The sequence below is a fragment of the Homo sapiens genome, chromosome 4 (genome assembly GCF_000001405.40).
Source record: "Homo sapiens chromosome 4, GRCh38.p14 Primary Assembly".
In the NCBI taxonomy this organism is placed as follows: Eukaryota; Metazoa; Chordata; class Mammalia; order Primates; family Hominidae; genus Homo; species Homo sapiens.
This window is the reverse complement of record NC_000004.12, coordinates 47,977,563-47,996,378: the sequence shown is the minus strand read 5'-3', so window position 1 is coordinate 47,996,378 and position 18,816 is coordinate 47,977,563. Positions and strand designations below refer to the sequence as shown.

Here is an 18,816-nt window from a genome sequence, read left to right as displayed (position 1 = left end):
TAAATTAGCAAACCAGGATGCAAAATCTAAACCAGGATGCAAATCTCAAGTCCACTAAATTTCCAATATTCCAAGGAGCTATCAACATCAGTTGCAAGTCTCTGAGGCCACCCCAATCATGCTGAGGGCTGGAGGACTTACTCCCTAAGAGGAGGGATCATGGTGGATGGGAGGCAGGACTAGATTGCAGCTCTGACTCAGATAGACAGAGCAGTGTGTGGAGGCTCGTGTCATGAATTTTTGCACCAGAATGACTGTAGGAATAAATCAGGAAACCTGGGAGTACCCAGAGACCTCTCTGAAGGAAGTGGATTGCTCCTTCAGGACCCAGGAAACACTCCAAATACTGTACTGGTATCCCCAGATGAGAGACCCACAGATGGTTTATGTAACAGGACTCTGTGCAGACAACCCCTAGTACCAGCCCAGAGCCTGGTAGACTTGCTGGGTGGCTAGATCCAGAAGAGAGATAATAATCACTACAGCTTGGCTCTCAGGAAGCTACATCCATAGGAAAAGGGTGAGAGTACTACATCAAGGGAACACCCTGTGGGGCAAAAGAATCTGAACAACAGCCTTCAGCCCTAGACCTTTCCTTTGATAGAGCCAACCCAAATGAGAAGGAACCAGAAAACCAACTCTGGTAATATAAAAAAACAATGTTCTTTAACACCCCCCAAAAATCACACTAGCTCACCAGCAATGGATCCAAGCTGAGAAGAACCCCTGATTTACCTGAAAATGAATTCAGGGGGTTAGTTATTAAGCTAATCAGGGAGACACCACAGAAAGATGAAGCCCAATTTAAGGAAATAAAAAAAAATGATACAAGAAGTGAAGGGAGAAATAATGAAATAGATAGCAAGAATAAAAAGCAATCAAAACTTCAGGAAACAATGGACACACTTAGAGCAATGCAAAATGCTCTGGAAAATCTCAGCAACATAATTAAACAAGTAGAAGAAAGAAATTTAGAGCTTGAAGACAGGGTCTTTGCATTAATCCAATCCAACAAAGACAAAAAAGAATAAGAAAATATGAACAAAGCCTCCAACAAGTCTGGCATTATGTTAACCAACCAAATCTAAGAATTCTAAAAGTTTGGAAAACATATTTGGGAGAAGAATCTAGGAAAATTTCCATGGCCTTGCTAGAGACCTAGACATCCAAATACAAGAAGCACAAAGAACACCTAGGAAATTCATCACAAAAAGATCATCACCTAGGCACATTGTCATCAGGTTATCTAAAATTAAGACAAAGGAAAGAATCTTAAGAGCTGTGAGACAAAAGCACCAGGTAGCCTATAAAGGAAAGCCTATCAGATTAATAGCAGATTTCTCAGCAGAAACTGTACAAGCTAGAAGGGATTCTATCTATCTTCAGCCTCCTCAAACAAAACAATTATCAGCCAACAATTGTGTATCCAGTGAAGCCAAGCTTCATATATGAAGGAAAGATACAGTCTTTTTCAGATAAACAAAAGCTGAAAGAATTCACCACTACCAAGTCACCACTACAAGAACTGCTAAAAAGAGCTCTAAATATTGAAACAAATCCTGGGAACACATCAAACAGAACCTCTTTAAAGCATATATCTCACAGAACCTATAAAACAAAAATACAATTTAAAAAACAAAAAACCAAAGTATATGGGCAACAAGTAGTACAATGAATGGAATGGCACCTCACATCTCAATACTAACATTGAATGTAAATGGCCAAAATGCTCCACTTAAAAGATAAAGAATTACAGAATGGATAAGAATTCACCAACCAACTGTCTGTTGCCTTCAGGAGACTCACCTAACACATAAGGACTCACATAAACTTAAGATAAAGGGGTGGAAAAAGACGTTTCATGCAAAATGACACCAAAAGCAGGCAGGATTCTTACATCAGATAAAACAAACTTTAAAGCAACAGCAGTTAAAAAGACAAAGAGGAACATTATATAATGATAAAAGGCCTTGTCCAACAGGAAACTATCACAATCCTAAACATATATGCGCCTAACACTGGAGCTCCCAAATTTATAAAGCAATTACTAATAGACTTAAGAAATGAGATAGACAGCAACACCATAGTAGTGGGAGACTTCAGTACTCCACTGACAGCACTAGACAGGTCATCAAGACAGAAAGTCAACAAAGAAACAATGGATTTAAACTATACCCTGGCACAAATGGACTTAACAGATATATACAGAACATTCCTTCCAACAACTGCAGAATATACATTCTATTTGACAGTGCATGGAACTTTCTCCAAGATAGACAATATGATAGGCCACAAAATGAGCCTCAATAAATTTAAGAAAATTGAAATTATATCAGGCACTCTCAGACCACAGTGAAACAAAACCGGAAATCAACTCCAAAAGAAACCTTCAAAACCATGCAAATCATGGAAATTAAATAACCTGCTCCTGAATGATCACTGGGTCAAAAGTGAAATCAAGATGGAAATTTGAAAATTCTTTGAACTGAACGACAATAGTGACACAATCTATCAAAACATCTGGGATACAGCAAAGGTGGTGCTAACAGGAAATTCAAAGCCCCAAACACATCAGAAAGTCTGAAAGAGCACAAACAGACAATCTAAGGTCACACCTCAAGGAACTAGAGAAACAAGAAAAAAACCAAACCCAAAACCAGCAGAAGTAAGGAAATAAGCAAGATCAGAGCATAAATAAATGAAATTGAACCCCCAATACAAAAGATAAATGAAACAAAAAACTGATTCTTTGAAAAAATAAATAAAATTGATAGACCATGAGCAAGATTAACCAAGAAAAGAAGAGAGAAAATCCAAAAAAGCTCAATAAGAAATGAAATGAGAGATATTACAACTGACATCACAGAAATACAAAAGATTATTCGAGGCTACTATGAACGCCTTTACACACATAAACCAGGATACCTAGAAGAGATGGATAAATTCCTGGAAAGACAGAACCCTGCTAGCTTAAATCAGGAAGAATTAGATAACCTGAACAGACCAATAACAAGCAGTGAGATTGAAATGGTAACTTAAAAATTACCAACAACAAAAAAGTCCAGAACCAGACAGATTCACAGAAGATTCCTACCAAACATTCAAAGAATTGGTACCAATTCTACTGACACTATTCCACAAGATAGAGAATGAGGGAACCCTCCCTAAATCATTCTATGTAGCCAGCATCAACCTAATACCAAAACCAGGAAAGGATATAACCAAAAAAGAAAACTACAGACCAATATCCCTGATGAACGTAGATGCTAAAATTAACAAAATACTAGCTAACCGAATCCAACAACATATGAAAAAGATAATCCACCCTGATCAAGTTGGTTTCATACCAGGGATGTAGGGATGGTTTAACATATGCAAGTCAATAAATGTGATACACCACATAAAGAGAATTAAGAACAAAAATCACATGATCATCTTAATAGATGCAGAAAAAGCATTCAACAAAATCCAACATCCTTTTATGATTAAAACTCTCAGCAAAATCAGCATACAAGGGAAATACCTCAATGTAATAAAAGCCATCTATGACAAACCCACAGCCAACATAATACTGAATGGGGAAAAGTTGAAAGTATTCCCTCTGAGAACTGGAACAAGACAAGGATGCCCACTCTCACCACTCCTCTTCAACATAGCACTGGAACTCCTAGCCAGAGCAATCAGACTAAATAAATAAATAAATAAATAAATAAATAAATAATAAATGGCATCCAAATCAGTAAAGATGAAGTCAAACTGTCACTGTTTGCTGATGGTATGATTGTTTACCTAGAAAATCCTAAAGACTCCTCCAGAAAACTCATAGAACTGATAAAAGAATTCAGCAAAATTGCCGGATACAAAATTAATGTACACAAATCAGTAGCTCTGCTATGCACCAACAGCAACCAAGCTGAGAATCAAATCAAGAACTCAAACTTTTTTTTACAATAGCTGCAAAAAAACCAAAATACTTAGGAATATACCTAACCAAAGAGTTGAAAGAACTCTACAAGGAAAACTACAAAACACTGTTGAAAGAAATCATAGATGACACAAACAAATGGAAACACATCCCATGCTCATGGATGGGTAGAATCAATATTGTGAAAATGACCACACTATCAAAAGCAAGCTACAAATTTAATGCAATTCCCATCAAAATACCACCATCATTCTTCATAGAACTATAAAAAAATTCTAAAATTCATATGGAACCAAAAAAGAGCCCTTATAGCCAAAGCAAGACTAAGCAAAAAGAGCAAGTCTAGAGGCATCACATTACCTGATTTCAAACTATACTATAAGGCCATAGTCACCAAAACAGCATGATACTGGCATAAAAATAGGCACATAGACCAATGGAACAGAATAGAAAACCCAGAAATAAGCCTAAATACTTGCAGCCAACTGATCTTCAACAAAGCAAACAAAAACATAAAGTGGGGAAAGGGCATCCTTTTCAACAAATGGTGCTTGGATAATTGGCTAGCCACATGTAGGAGAATAAAAGTTCATCCTCATCTCCCACCTTATATAAAAATCAACTCAAGATGGATTAAAGACTTAAACCTAAGACCTGAAACTATACAAATTCTAGAAGATAACATTGAAAAAATCCTTCTAGACATTGGCTTAGGCAGAGTTTTCATGACCAAGAACTTAAAAGCAAATGCAATAAAAACAAAGATAAATAGTTGGGACTTAATTAAACTAAAGTGCTTTTACCTGGCAAAAGGAACAGTCAGCAGAGTAAACAGACAACCCACAGAGTGGGAGGAAATCTTCACAATCTATACATCTGACAAAGGACTAATATCCAGAATCTACAATGAAGTCAAACAAATCAGCAAGAAAAAAACAAACAATTCCATCAAAAAGTGGGCTAAGAACATGAATAGACAATTCTCAAAAGAAGATATACAAATGGCAAACAAACATATGAAAAAATGCTCAACATCACGAATGATCAGGGAAATGCAAATCAAAACCACAATGCGAAATGCAATACCATCTTACTCCTGCAAGAATGGCCATAATCAAAATATCAGAAAATAGTAGATGTTTGCATGGATGCGGTGAAGAGGGAACATTTCTACACTGCTGGTGGGAATGTAAATTAGTGCAATCACTATGGAAGACAGTGTGGAGATTCCTTAAAGAAATAAAAGTAGAACTGCCATTTGATCCAGCAATCCCAGTACTCGGTATCTACCCAGGGGAAAAGAAGTTGTTATACAAAAAGGATACTTGCACACTCATGCTTATAGCAGCACAATTTGCAATTGCAAAAAACATAGAATCAGTCCAAATGCCCATGAATCAATGAGTGGATAAAGAGATCATGGTGTATATACATGTATATATATATAATGGAATACTACTCAACCATAAAAAGGAATGAATTAATGACATTCATGGCTACCTAGATGAGATTAGTGACTATTATTCTAAGTGAAGTAACTCAGGAATGGGAAACCAAATATTGTATATTCTCGCTCGTAAGTGGGAGCTAAGCTATGAGGATGCAAAAGCATAAGAATGTTTTGGGGGAACCAGCCCCCATATTTCAACGTAGGTTCTTTCTATTTTCCCTAAGTGTTGGCTGGTCTGAGAAATAAAGAAAAAGAGTACAAAGAGAGAAATTTTACAGCTGGGCCTCCGGGAGTGCCATCACATATTAGTAGGACCATGATGGTGACGCCGAGCCGCAAAATCAGCAAGTTTTTATTAGGGATTTTAGAAAGGGAGGGGGTGTACAAACAGGGAGTAGGTCACAAGGATTACATGCTTCAACGGGCAATAAAGATCACAAGGCAAGGCAAAATTAGAAATACTGATGGAGGTCTATGTCCCACTGTGCATGCATTGTCTTGATAAACATCTTAACAGGAAACAGGGTTCGAAAGCAGAGAACTGGTCTGACTAGAATTTACCAGGCTGGAATTTTCCAATCCCAGTAAGCCTGAGGGTACTGCAAGAGACCAGGGCGTATTTCAGCCCTTATCTCAACCGCATAAGACAGACACTCCCAGAGTGGCCATCTATAGACCTCCCCCCAAGAATGCATTCCTTCCCCAGGTTTATTCCTTGCTGAGAAAAGAATTCAGTGATATTTCTCCTACTCGCTTTCTGCAGAAAGAAAAATATGGCTGTATTCTGCCTGACCCCACAGGCAGTCAGACCTTTATCCTCCCTCGTTCCCTGAAAATCACTGTTATTCTGTTCTTTTTCAGGGTGCACTGATTTCATATTGTTCAAACACCCATGTTTTACAATCAGTTTCATATTGTTCAAACACATATGTTTTACACACAATTTGTACCGTTAATGCAATCATCACAGGGTCCTGAGGCAACACACATCCTCAGCTTATGAAGATGATGGGATTAAGAGATTAAAGTAAGACAGGCATAAGAAATTATAAAAGTATTAATTCTGGGAACTAATAAATGTCCATGAAATCTTCACAATTTATGTTCTTCTGCTGCAGCTTCAGCTGGTCCCTCCGTTTGGGGTTCTTGACTTCCCGCAATAAGAATGACACAATGGACTTGGGGAATCAGGGGGAAAGGGTGGGAAGGGGGTGAGGGAGCAAAGACTACAAATAGGGTTCAGTGTATACTGCTTGGGCAATGGGTGCAATGAAATCTCACAAATCACCACAAAAGAACTTACTCATGTAACCAAACACCACCAGCTTCCCCAATAACCTACGGAAACAAAAAAAATTTTTTTTTAAATCAGGTGCTAAATTTTGATTATTTAACTTTTCTTAGATCTTTAAGACTGACCAAAATTTTATCAGTTTTCAAGGTCATTTAAATTCAGACACAATAATAAATAATTTACTTATTTTATAATGGTTAGTAATTTATGAGGGGGCTTGAAATTTCAGTTACCGTAGAATGATGGTACCCTGGTAAGTGTACAACTCCCAGAGGTAGAATTGTGTGTGATCAAAATTTTATTTTATTTACTTGTTCAGTGATTAAGGGATTCTGGACAGATTTCATATAAAATTAACTTTCAAGGGTCTGGTTTTACAGATTGGATGCTCATGTTCTGTAACTAATGAGTTTCCCTGTAAACAAATCTACCTGAGAAGTTAAATTATAACCAAAGATAGTTTGCTCATTAGCAGGAATCTAACCATAGATGGAGCACCTCATTTTTGGCAGTTTACACATTAGATTGATCATTTAATTAAGAAATCATGAAGGACGTAACTTGACCTAAGTAACACAGCTAAGCAAGTAGAAAATTTGAAATTTTAACCAAAGTTTGTCTAATGTCCCAAGGTGATACTCTTGACTAGGCAAATTGCTTTTCACAGTAGGGGATCTAATGAACACTCCCTTGCCCAGTGTCTAGCATGTAATATCCTTTTTTTTTTTAAAACTAAGAACAATAGCATTTTCTTAATCCTGTACATTCTATTTAAAGTTGACCCTTGAACAACTTGGGCTTGAACTACATGGGTCCGCTTATATGTGGATTTTTTTCAACCAAACCGATCACCACGTATACCTAGGGATGACTGTACTGTGGACTCAAATTGAGGTCTTTTAATGAGGAAGAGTTAATAGGTACTAAATAAATGTACACTGAATGAATGAATATATTGACTCACATTAGCTATTTTGAGGAGGCAATTTGATGAATTGTCTCAGAAAAGAACACACTTGTATATATTTACTAAATTATGATATTATACTAAATTACAATATTATACTAAATATAATATCATTGAGTCCTGGACCCCCAGACTTTGCCAGTGAAATCTGTATGAGAACTTTTGCACTCAAAGAGCTGTGGAAGGCAGTGTTGTTTATTTCATTATTATTATTTTTTCCTCAACCCATTTAAGGTGGAGTTTATCTCATTATTAATGTTGCTACTCTGAGAGCTGTATAGCCTCCATTTCCTCTTGTTTGGAATCCTAAGTAAAAAAAATACAGAAGTGTTTAATTCATTCATTCCAATGAATATTACTGAGGCACTGACGTGTACAATGCCTTATTTTCCTTTTTCTTTATTTTCCTGTTTTTTGTGAGAGAAAAAAGCCTACAATGCCTTATTTTTCAAATAGAACTCCTAATTCCCCTCTACCCCAAGCTTGCTTTTCCTTATGTCCTTCCTGTCTCATCAAATTGCAACCTCTTTTTTAGTAGCTTTAAGTAAGAAAATCTACAGTCATCCTTGACTTCACTGTTTCACACACACCCCACAAACAATCAATCACCAAATCTTATTGCCTCTGTCTTAAAAATATATCAAGAATCTGACCCGTTCTCACCGCTTCCACCTGTACCAACCTGGTCTGAACCATGCTCACCTCTCACTGAATGAATTACTACAGTTGCCTCCTGACTGTTCTCCACCTGATCTATCTTCTAAGACCTTAACTCTTTAAATCCCTCTTCCCCTTGCTTCCTCTAACTTAGCCACAGTGGCTTCTCTGCTTTTCATTAAACACACCAACACAGTTCTGTCTTTGCACATGTTGTTTTCTTGCTGGGCAAACTCTTCCCTTGGAAGTGGGCATGGCTACCTCTGTGTCTATATTCAGGTCTCTGCTAAATGAGGCCTTTCCTGAAAACCCCATCTAAGATAGTCCTGCCCCACCCCATATCATTTTCTATTTCTTTCCCTTGTTTTCTTCTTTATCATATCAATAATCAACATCTGAGTGCTTATATATTTATTACTTTATTTATTGTCTTTCCCATCTTATTAGAGTGTATGCTCCACAAGGGCAGAAATTAGTTTTGTTACCTATTGACTCTGCAATGCTTAGAAGAGAGCCTGTCATTTAATATTTACATATTTGTTGAATGAATGACTATGCATAGTATCAAACTGAATGCTAGAGATACGGTAATGGACAAGTAATGGGCAACATAGACACGGTTCCTGATCTCATGACATTTACAGTTCCTACAGGGGAAATAGATATAAACAATTAATTACATAACGTTTAATTATTATGGTTATAAACATGAAGGCATCATTGACCACTCTGGCTGAAGGTCTTGGTGTGTAGGAAGACAGACTATCAAATATTTAATAACTTAGGATCAAGAGCCAGAATCCCTCAAATCATATAATTTTTGAATAAAAATACAGAGAATCAGTGTCATGCAAATGAGCATCTATAGTTAGAGGTAGGTTAAATAGGATTATGAAGATTTAGAGGGAGCTGACAAAGCAAGACAGGGAACAAGATTAAAAGTAGCCTACTAAATAGATAATCCAATGCAGCTATGTTCTATCAGTCAAGGTTACTGCAGGTACCCGGAAAAGAAATCCAGTGATAGGTATACAGGGTCAAGCTAATCATGCTTTGGAGGGGAAAACACAACACAACACAACTCAACACAACACAACACAACACAACACAATACTCTTATCCTTTTAAACTTGGATAAATCAGAAAAATATTGTAGTATGTAAGTTTTATATATGCACATGAAATTCCAACTTACCTTCAATTTCAGCAAAAAGATAATCTTCCCAAAGCCTTCCAGTTCAGTTCCTTTCCTCCCCAAATTTTTGGGCTCCTTGTATGTAATCTCTCAGCCCTTTATCACACTGTTTTGTAATCATCTCTCTTTCTCTCTCTCTTTTTTTTATTTTTTTGTTTGCCTGTGTCCTGCCTCTGTGGAGTCTCTGAGGAAGGAACTTTTCTTTGTGCCTCGTAGAAAAGTGCCCAGCACACCGTAGATACTCAAGAATTATATGTGAAATGAATGTACAAACATTTGAGCAAATTTTATGCCTTTATGAAGGATTATTATTTTGCATTGTTAAACACTCTACACACATGAAAACACAGATTCTCATTAAAAATGAAAATATTGAATGAAAATTGAAAATAAATTGAAATTACTTCACCTGGTTATATTTTGCTAGAATTATATAATAAATTACTTAGAAACAAGGTATAAAAATGGCTTTGTGTCTTTTTTTTTTTTGAAATAGAGTCTCACTCTGTCACCCAGGCTGGCAGTGGTGCAATCTCGGCTTACTGCAACTCCGCCTCCTGGGTTTAAGTCATTCTCCTGCCTCAGCCTCCCAAATAGCTGGGATTATGGGCATGCACCATCATGCCTTGCTCATTTTTGTATTTTAGTAGAGATGGGGTTTCACCATAGTGACCAGGCTGGTCTCGAACTCCTGACCTCAAGTGATCCGCCCACCTCTGCCTCCCAAAGTGATTACAAGTGTGAGCCACTGCACCTGGCACAAGTTAATTACTTAGCAGCCACAGATATCTGCTTATGAAAACTCCCATTGCAGCATAATGGGTACAGTTAAGCCCTCAGCAATATGCTGCAAAGCTCCAGTTTAGGTGCTCCACACTTTAGAAGGAAGGAAAAGGAAGAGAGAGCACAATTATGAAGTGTCCTCTTTATATACTGACAGTGTGTGAAATGCTAAATCCATTTAAGTCTCAGAAAAACCTAATGAGGTAGGTGTTATTTCCATTTTACAAATAAGGAAATTGAACCTTGAAAAAGCTAAGTAATTTTCTCAAGACCACACAACTAATCCACATGATCCCAGGAATCCGTAATATTTAGTTCATTCTTAAATATGGTTTTTTTTGGGGGGGTGGGGGAAGATAGACGAAGGAAGTGTGAGAGCTAGTAAAGAAAGCAATAATTTGCTTTATTTTTGAGATAAATCAAATCAGTTATTTGGAATATGGAGAGAGAGAGTGTGTGTGTATGTGAGATTCATTGTGGAAGAGCTGTTTTATAATGACAAGTTCTATGAAGTTTCATGATATTGACCAAGATTTAAGTTGGCTGAAGGAAGAAAGGTTTACTATAATCATTACCCTGTTTTATTTAATTCATTAAAATCATTTAAGAAAGTTTCAAGTAACAAGCAAACCATGAAGAAAATAAACATTCATGGCTACCTATGGGAGCGAATTCTGGATCTTGTCATTTTGATTTCTTTTTAGATATGTTTATTATAATCACATCATCTGTGTATGAGGTAGGTAGGACTGCAAGAAGATTGCTCTAATTAACCCTGGTATATTTTCTAACCAGAAAATATATCTTCCACTTTTAAAAAGAAACCATGTAAATTTATTGCAATGCAATTATTGTAAAACAAAGTTTAACTTTGATATTTGTCTTTTTAAAATTGATAGCCTCTTCTCAAGTATTTACAATGCTTTAGGAACAGTAATAAATGCTTCATATTACTATGTCTCATTTAATCCTCACAATAAACCTACTAGATATTATTATGCTCATTTCATGAAAACTGCAACTGAGACCCAGCAGTTCATTATCATGCTCCAAATCCCAGAGCTAGTGAACAGCAGAGCTGAGATTCAAACTCAGTCCTGGGACTACAAAACCCATATATTTAAGCTCAGTGTGATATCGTAGAAAACTCCCCCAAAGTGGATAACAACAGTTGGCATTAGAGAGGCTAAAGTAAAGTGAACACTGAATGTAAAAACAAAAAGGTCTTCCACATTCAACAACAGGCAGTCATTTTCTGAAGATCTTAACTCCCCAAGAAGCAATATTAAGTTGAAAATATTAAGGAGACCCACAGAGGTCTGGTCTGAGTACTTTCATGAATGCTAGATCCAAATTGGGTAATTAAAAAACATTTCTTAGATGTGAGGGACAATTATATATATTATATATATATGTGTGTGTGTGTGTGTGTGTGTGTGTGTGTATATATATATATATATTTTTTTTATTTGTTTGTTTGTTTTTTTGAGATGGAGTCTCAATGCCTTGCCCAGGCTGGAGTACTGCAGTAGCACTATCTTGGCTCACTGCAACCTCTGCCTCCTGGGTTCAAGCAATTCTCCTGCCTCAGCCTCCTGAGTAGCTGGGATTACAGGCGTGCACCACCATGCCTGCCTAATTTTTGTATTTTTAGTAAAGACGGGGTTTCACCATGTTGGCCAGGCTGGTCTCAAAATTCTGACCTTGTGTGATCCACCTGCCTCCACCTCCCAAAGTGCCGTGATTACAGGTGTGAGCCACCACACCGGGCCTCAAGGGACAAGAATATTATAAAAAGTAATAGTGGGCATTATCAAATTTTGCATTTGTATGCAGGTAAAGTGCTAAGGGGTTTACAGGTGCATTCAATGTAAAGATGAGGAAATTGAATAACAGTTGATGAAAAACGTTTTTCTGTAGAAGAATTCTTTGCTATCACTGTTAGAGGCAATTTGCTGAAATAGGCGACTTGACTAATTTTCCATGTTTTTACCTTCCAGATGTCAAAAGTAGTGTGGTGCTCTGAAGTCAGATAGGCCTAGACATAGAGGTATCAGATAAAACACAGACTACCCAGTTAAATTTGAATTTCAGATTTAAAAAACCCAATTTTTAAAATAAGTTTGTCTCATGCAATATTTGATATATACTTATACTGTACTTTTAGTTGCCAAATCTAGTAACCCTCTCTGGGTGTGAATCACAGCTAACTCTGATATGGTAGCAGCCATTGTGACTCTGGACAAATGACCTCATCTCCCAGCCTTCATTTTCTTCTTCAAAAGATGAAGTAGATACCTTTTCTACTTCACAGAATTGTTTTAGGATTTGAAGAAAGTTAAGTTCATTCTCTTGATAATTTCTTTGTGTGTCTGTTGATTACTTCATGGGTTTCCAAATATTTACCATTAATTTCATAGAGATAGACTTAAGACACTGCCATGGTATTCAAGGCAAGGGGCTTATTCTCTTTTTCTTTTTCTTTTTCTTTTACTTTTTTTTTGTTGTTGTTGTTTTTGAGACAAAGTCTCGCTCTGTCGCCCAGGCTGGAGTGCAGTGGTGTGATCTCGGCTCACTGCAACCTCTGCCTCCTGGGTTCAAGTGATTCTCCGACCTCAGCCTCCTGAGTAGCTGGGATTACAGGCACTGTACCACCACGCCCAGCTAGTTTTTGTATTTTTAGTAGAGACAGGGTTTCCTCATGTTGGTCAGGCTGGTCTCAAACTCCTGACTTTGTGATCTACCCGCCTCAGCCTCCCAAAGTGCTGGGATTACAGGCGTGAGCCACGACGCCCCGCCAAGGGGCTTATTTTCTTAAGCAGATTAGGTAGTCTAGAGAGAAGCATGATATAAAAGGATGGACACAATAACATTTTAGCATAAAGCTAAATTGTGGCACAAGAGACCACATGTGTTAATACACTTTTTTAGATCCAGTGATCTAATTTCTAAGTAAACACTAATCACAGAGGTACATAATGAAGAGTAAGAATATTCATTTTGAGGCTGGGCTCAGTGGCTCACGCCTGTAATCCTAGCACTTTGGGAGGCCCAGGTGGGCGGATCATTTGAGGCCAGGAGTTTGAGACCAGCCTGGCCAACATGGCGAAACCCCATCTCTACTAAAAATACAAAAATTTCTGGGCTTGGTAGCACACATCTGTAATCCCAGCTACTTGGGAGGCTGAGGCAGGAGAATTGCTTGAACCTGGGAGATGGAGGCTGCAGTGAGCCGCGATGGCACCACTGCACTCCAGCCTGGGCGAAAGAGCGAGACTCCATCTTAAAAAAAAGAATGTTCATTTTGAAATGTTTTAGACCAGAGGAAAAAATATCCAATAATAGGAAAATGAATCAATGAATTATGGTATAATGAAATACAATAGAAGATTATGTAATCTTAAAAAGAACGCATTAGATAGATATTTAGCGATATAAATATTATCATAATATAATATTACATAAAATCAGAATAATTTTAATTTAAGAATATAATGGTAGGTATAAGGAAAATGTTAATATTGGTTATGCCAAAATAGTAAGACTATGTTTCCATTTTCTTTTCTTTCTTTCTGTAATATCTTTTTATGAAGCATGTTTTATATTAGAAATATGAATTTAATTTTTACAATTCTGGAACTCAGAAGTCAATCTTCCTAAGGTACACAGTACTCCTCTAATTTTCTCTGCTAGGCATCTTGAGGTGCCTCCTCTCTTGAGAGCCTCCTACGCTACTGGAGCTGAAACCATTCAACTGAGGCAATAAGTGTTACTCGGTTGTTCATTGTTCAGCAAGAAAAATATTGCAAATACTGGAGAATGCATGATGTATTTTTGGAGCTAATAGATGGAAATAAAGGCAGTTTTGCTAAATGGAAACAGTATTTATTTCATGTCATTCTGATTTTCAGCCATAAGCAAAAGTTTTGTGAGTATGTAGCCTGTCATATATTGCATAAAAGAGTTCTTAGGGAAATTTACTTTTAGGTTATTAGAGTAACACTGAGACACTAACTGAAATATTGTGATGATTTTTATACATCTAAAGCATGAATTTTTCTTTCAGGCAAGCTCAGCTTTATCCTATTTTATTTCTTGACTAGGTATCTGTCAAATATGCAATTCCTCCATAAAATAGACAATTAAAAGATCAATGACTAATGAAGTGCATCCTACTAATATTTTAAATAACTTTTAATATCATGGCACTGTATTTGAAAATGTAATTATACTTTGTAAAAAACCTAGACGCTATTTTCAAGATGATAACCCTGGGTGAAGTTGGAGGTATAATTTTAATAAAATTCATCAGGCAATAGTACATGTGGTTTACTTTCAAATTTGTTGAGAGATGTAGCTTTGAGAACCCCTCTTTTATTTCTAACTCTCATTCATATTAATAGGCTCAGACTCAAGCAAAGGATAATGATGTTGCTGTTATTTTCATCCATGTGTAAATCCGCAAATCCAATGCCGAGTCATGAAAATCCTACTTTGACAATGCGACGAACTGTTTATTTCCCTGGGAATAATTTTGAAAACTAGCCATTTGTGTATCTTTGAGGAAAGGGAAAAAATCAGCATGTTTATTATTTTTAAAAAATTAGGGCCTGGATTTTGACAATGTCAAGATTTACCGTATATCCCTGTTTGTTTGGATACACCAGTGACGTCCACTTCTAGAAGACAAAGTTATATTACTTAAACAACCAAAGGTAAGAACCCAGTGATAACGATAATTAGAGTTATATTTTTCACAAATGCTTATACTTCTGTTTTGACTCTTTAAAGTTTCAGCTTTTGCTTTGCTTTTCATGTGATGTGCTCTCTAGATACAGCTATGATTGTATTTTTATTAACTTCTCTGTCTTTTTGACAGATAAGTGAATACTCTACCTGGCAATATGATTCTGCTAATCTGAATATCACAAAATAGTAAATGCTACCTGCTTTTCACAAATTTTAGTTTTATTTTTAGAAGTCAAAAACAATACCTTTGACAGGTATGTTTTTCCCCAAAGGAAGTGTCATATACTGATTTTTCTTTCTAAAATTTGGAGATAGGACACTATCAAACTCATGTAAATCTTAAAGAATTCACTCCTAAAAATAAGAGCTCCAACTCACTGGAAACTTAAGTATCAGATACTTTATCAACATTATTATAACAACCTGCATATCCCCTTTCAGAGATGAATAAGTGGTCTGAAGAGATTAAGTGCCTCGCCCGAGGATACAATACTACTCTATGAAGGAGCTAGAATTTAAATCACCTTGCCTTCTTTTAAATAACTGTGATAAGCGTGTATATTTTAATCAGAAAAAACAGTTATTGGCTGGGCCTGGTAGCTCACACCTGTAATCCCAGCACTCTGGGAGGCTGGAGTAGGTAGATCCTTGAGCCCAACAGTTGGAGACCAGCCTGGGCAATATGGCAAAACCTTGTCTCTAAAAAAATGCAAAAATTAGCCCAGGTGTGGTGGCATGTGTTTGTAGTCCCAGCTACTCAGGAGGCTGAGGTGGGAGGATCACTTGAGCCCAGGAGGTTGAGGTTGCAGTGAGCCGAGATCACACCACTGCACTCCAGCCTGAGTGAAAGAGAGAGACGCTGTATCAAAAAAAAAAAAAAAAAAAAGAAAGAAAGAAAAATAAAAAACTGTTATCAATTACTGTCATGTTTTTCTTTAATTAAAAAATGCGTACTGCATTCATCATGTAATAAGATTACATGTTTCAAAATATCAGTGATTTCATTCTATATTGGAAAGTTGAACAGTCTTAAAACAAGATTTTAAAATGTTTCTATCAATAAAGATACCTCTTAAAACGGGCTTTTTACATTTTGACTTTTTGTTTATATATCCTTTAATCAGTTTGTTCAATTACACTCATTCTTTCACTTGGCTAACACCCATAAACACCAATCACTCATTTCATTGTCATTTTCCCACTCAGCAAATAAAAGAGGGTAGGGAGTGAAGTATTAGGGTGTCAATGAAATTAAAAGGCCTATTATTTACCTGTTGTACCTTATGTCCCCTAGAGAATACGCCCTCTTTTCTCCATTCTGGAATCATTTACAAACATTGTTAACAAAAATAATCTCAGTAAAGCAAAAAACTATACAGGCCACAGTCAAAGTTAGAAATTAATGAGGAAAGTGTAAATAACAGACCCTAGTCCTTAGAGAAAAAAATTTTTTCAAAAAGGAAAAGAAACCTCTTTAATTGAAGATATCAACAAAACAGCCATTGCAGATCACTCTCTTTTTCTTGGAGGTAATTTTTTAAGTTAGAAAGTTAATGTGTTGAAAACTAAAAAGTTTGGGTAAAATAAATTATTTTGTAGAAAAACAAATGTCAAATTTAAATTAAGAATCAAGAGTTAAGTTGACTACAAATCATGAGCAAAATTTTAAAAAGTGTCTAAGAACTACCTCCAAAAAAGCTACTGCATCCTAAATATTTTTTACTTATTAATTTATTCAACAAATATTTATTTAGTTCCTACTCTAACGCTAGGCATTTTCCTAGGCAGAAACTTTCCTTTGTTTTCTACTATATCCCCATCAATAGGTCAAAGGAGTAAATCCATAGGATGCTACAGCCATTTACCTCAGGTGATAGTATGTGGTATCTGGGCTACTATATTTTATAAGTTTTGGGTATGGCATTAAGCAAAATTTACACAGCTGGTCCTTTCTTACATATCCTTAAAGTAGAAATATAATGTCCTTTCCCATGAGCAGACAACCCTTGTGCCAAGATTTTTTTTTTTTTTTTTTTTTGAGATGGAGTGTTGCTCTGTTGCCCAGGCTGAAGTGCACTGGTGCGATCTTGGCTCACTGCAACCTCCGCCTCTTGGGCTCAAGCGATCCTCCCGCCTCAGCTTCCTGAGTATCTGGGATTACAGGCATGAGCCACCTCACTCAGCGAATTTTTGTATTTTTTGTGGAGACGGGGTTTTGCCATGTTGCCCAGGCTGGTCTCAAACTCCTGAGCTCAAGCTATCCTCCCATGTCTGCCTCCCAAAGTGCTGGGATTACAGGTGTGAGCCACCATGCCCAGCCTGTGCCAAGATTTTGAACAATGCTAATATAGCTACTTGATAGTCTGGGACAAGTGCTTACAGTTATAGGTAATGGTTCTCAAATGTTACCTTTCCAAAGTACAAATCAACTTGAGCTTTAACAATTTTTATAGCTTTAGTTGATAAAAAGGTAATTGATTAAATGCAATGATATAGTCTTGATAAAACAGAAAATTTTTTATAAAGAAATTTCTTTGACAAAATAAGAAAAATTTATCTGAAATTAATGGGCAAAATAGGAGAAATTCTAGAGACTGAAACAAGAAGTCAAGGAGTGCCTGATAGAATATCTATTATTTAACATTGTTCTATAAATTCTACCCAACACAATAAAACAAGAAAAAAGAATAAGATATATACTTTGAAGAGAGAAAATTATCATTACCTGTGGTTAATATGATTGTTTATCCAGAAAACCCAAATGGATCAATTTAAAACTATATTAAAACTGACAAGATACTTAGGAAGATGATAGGCTACAAAATAAATATATAAGTAGTTTTCCTCTAGACCAGTAATAATTATTAATAGTTAGACGGTATAATACAACAGATTTTATTTAGAAATAACAAATTTAAATACATAGAGTACATTTAATAAGAAATGTGCCTAGCTTATTTAATAAAAATTACAAAGACATACAAGGTAAATTTTAAGAAGTAAATTAGTAAATGAGAAGACATCCCTTGTCATGTGATAAAAATTTAATATGTTAACATGTTGATTCTCCCAAAATTAATCCAAAAATTAAAAAAATCTCTTTAAAGTACGTTGTGAGAGTTTATTTTTAGGGGACTTGATAAAATTATTCTAAAGGCAACTGGCAATAATAAATGTATACACTGTACTGTCATAGGAATAAATAATCATTAAATAGGATAAAAATCACTTAGGGCTGGGCGCGGTGGCTCACGCCTGTAATCACAGCACTTTGGGAGGCTGAGGTGGGTGGATCACCTGAGGTCAGGAGTTCGAGACCAGCCTGACCAACATGGAGAAACCCCATCTCTACTAAAAATACAAAATTAGCCAGGCGTAGTGACACATGCCTGTAATCCCAGCTACTTGGGAGGCTGAGGCAGGAGAATTGCTTGAACCAGGGAGGCAGAGGTTGCAGTGAGCCGAGATCGTGCCATTGCACTCCAGCCTGGGCAACAAGAATGAAACTCTGTCTCAAGAAAAAAAAAAAATCACTTAAATGCAGTCATTAAAGTGATGAGTGTAGATGTATACTTTTTTATTAGACATGCAAGTAGTGTTTTGTGCAATAAAATGCAATAATTAAAAAAATTTTGTTGCTTTTTATGAACCTGTATAAGGCACTGTATAAGGTTCTGGAGACATTAGAGTTCATTAAATGAACTCTAATAAAAATCAGAGCTCACTGTGACCTGTCCTCAAGTCTGGGGGAGAGACACTGACATAAATGGATCATGATAAAATAATGGGTCAGTGC

The 18,816-nt window shown here is 36.4% G+C and overlaps 1 protein-coding gene and 1 long non-coding RNA gene across 6 annotated transcripts in view; one reads left to right on the top strand and one right to left on the bottom strand.

The window, feature by feature from the left end:
* Positions 1 to 18,816, top strand: part of CNGA1 (cyclic nucleotide gated channel subunit alpha 1) — an 80,705-nt gene that overhangs the window by 20,303 nt on the left and 41,586 nt on the right. For 2 of the 5 annotated variants that reach the window (NM_001379270.1, NM_000087.5), the window contains exon 3: positions 14,879 to 14,986. The exons of 2 other annotated variants lie outside the window; for them this stretch is intronic. The gene's annotated coding sequence lies outside the window, so the exon portion shown is untranslated. Of the gene's footprint in view, positions 1 to 14,843; positions 14,987 to 18,816 lie in introns of those variants that run through there. One more of the 5 variants, NM_001142564.2, reaches the window with a different exon arrangement.
* LOC101927157 (uncharacterized) overlaps positions 5,642 to 18,816 on the bottom strand; it is a 76,511-nt gene continuing 63,336 nt past the window's right edge. The window contains exon 3 of the long non-coding RNA NR_125879.1: positions 5,642 to 6,713. This is a non-coding gene — a long non-coding RNA (uncharacterized LOC101927157). The remainder of the gene's footprint in view (positions 6,714 to 18,816) is intronic.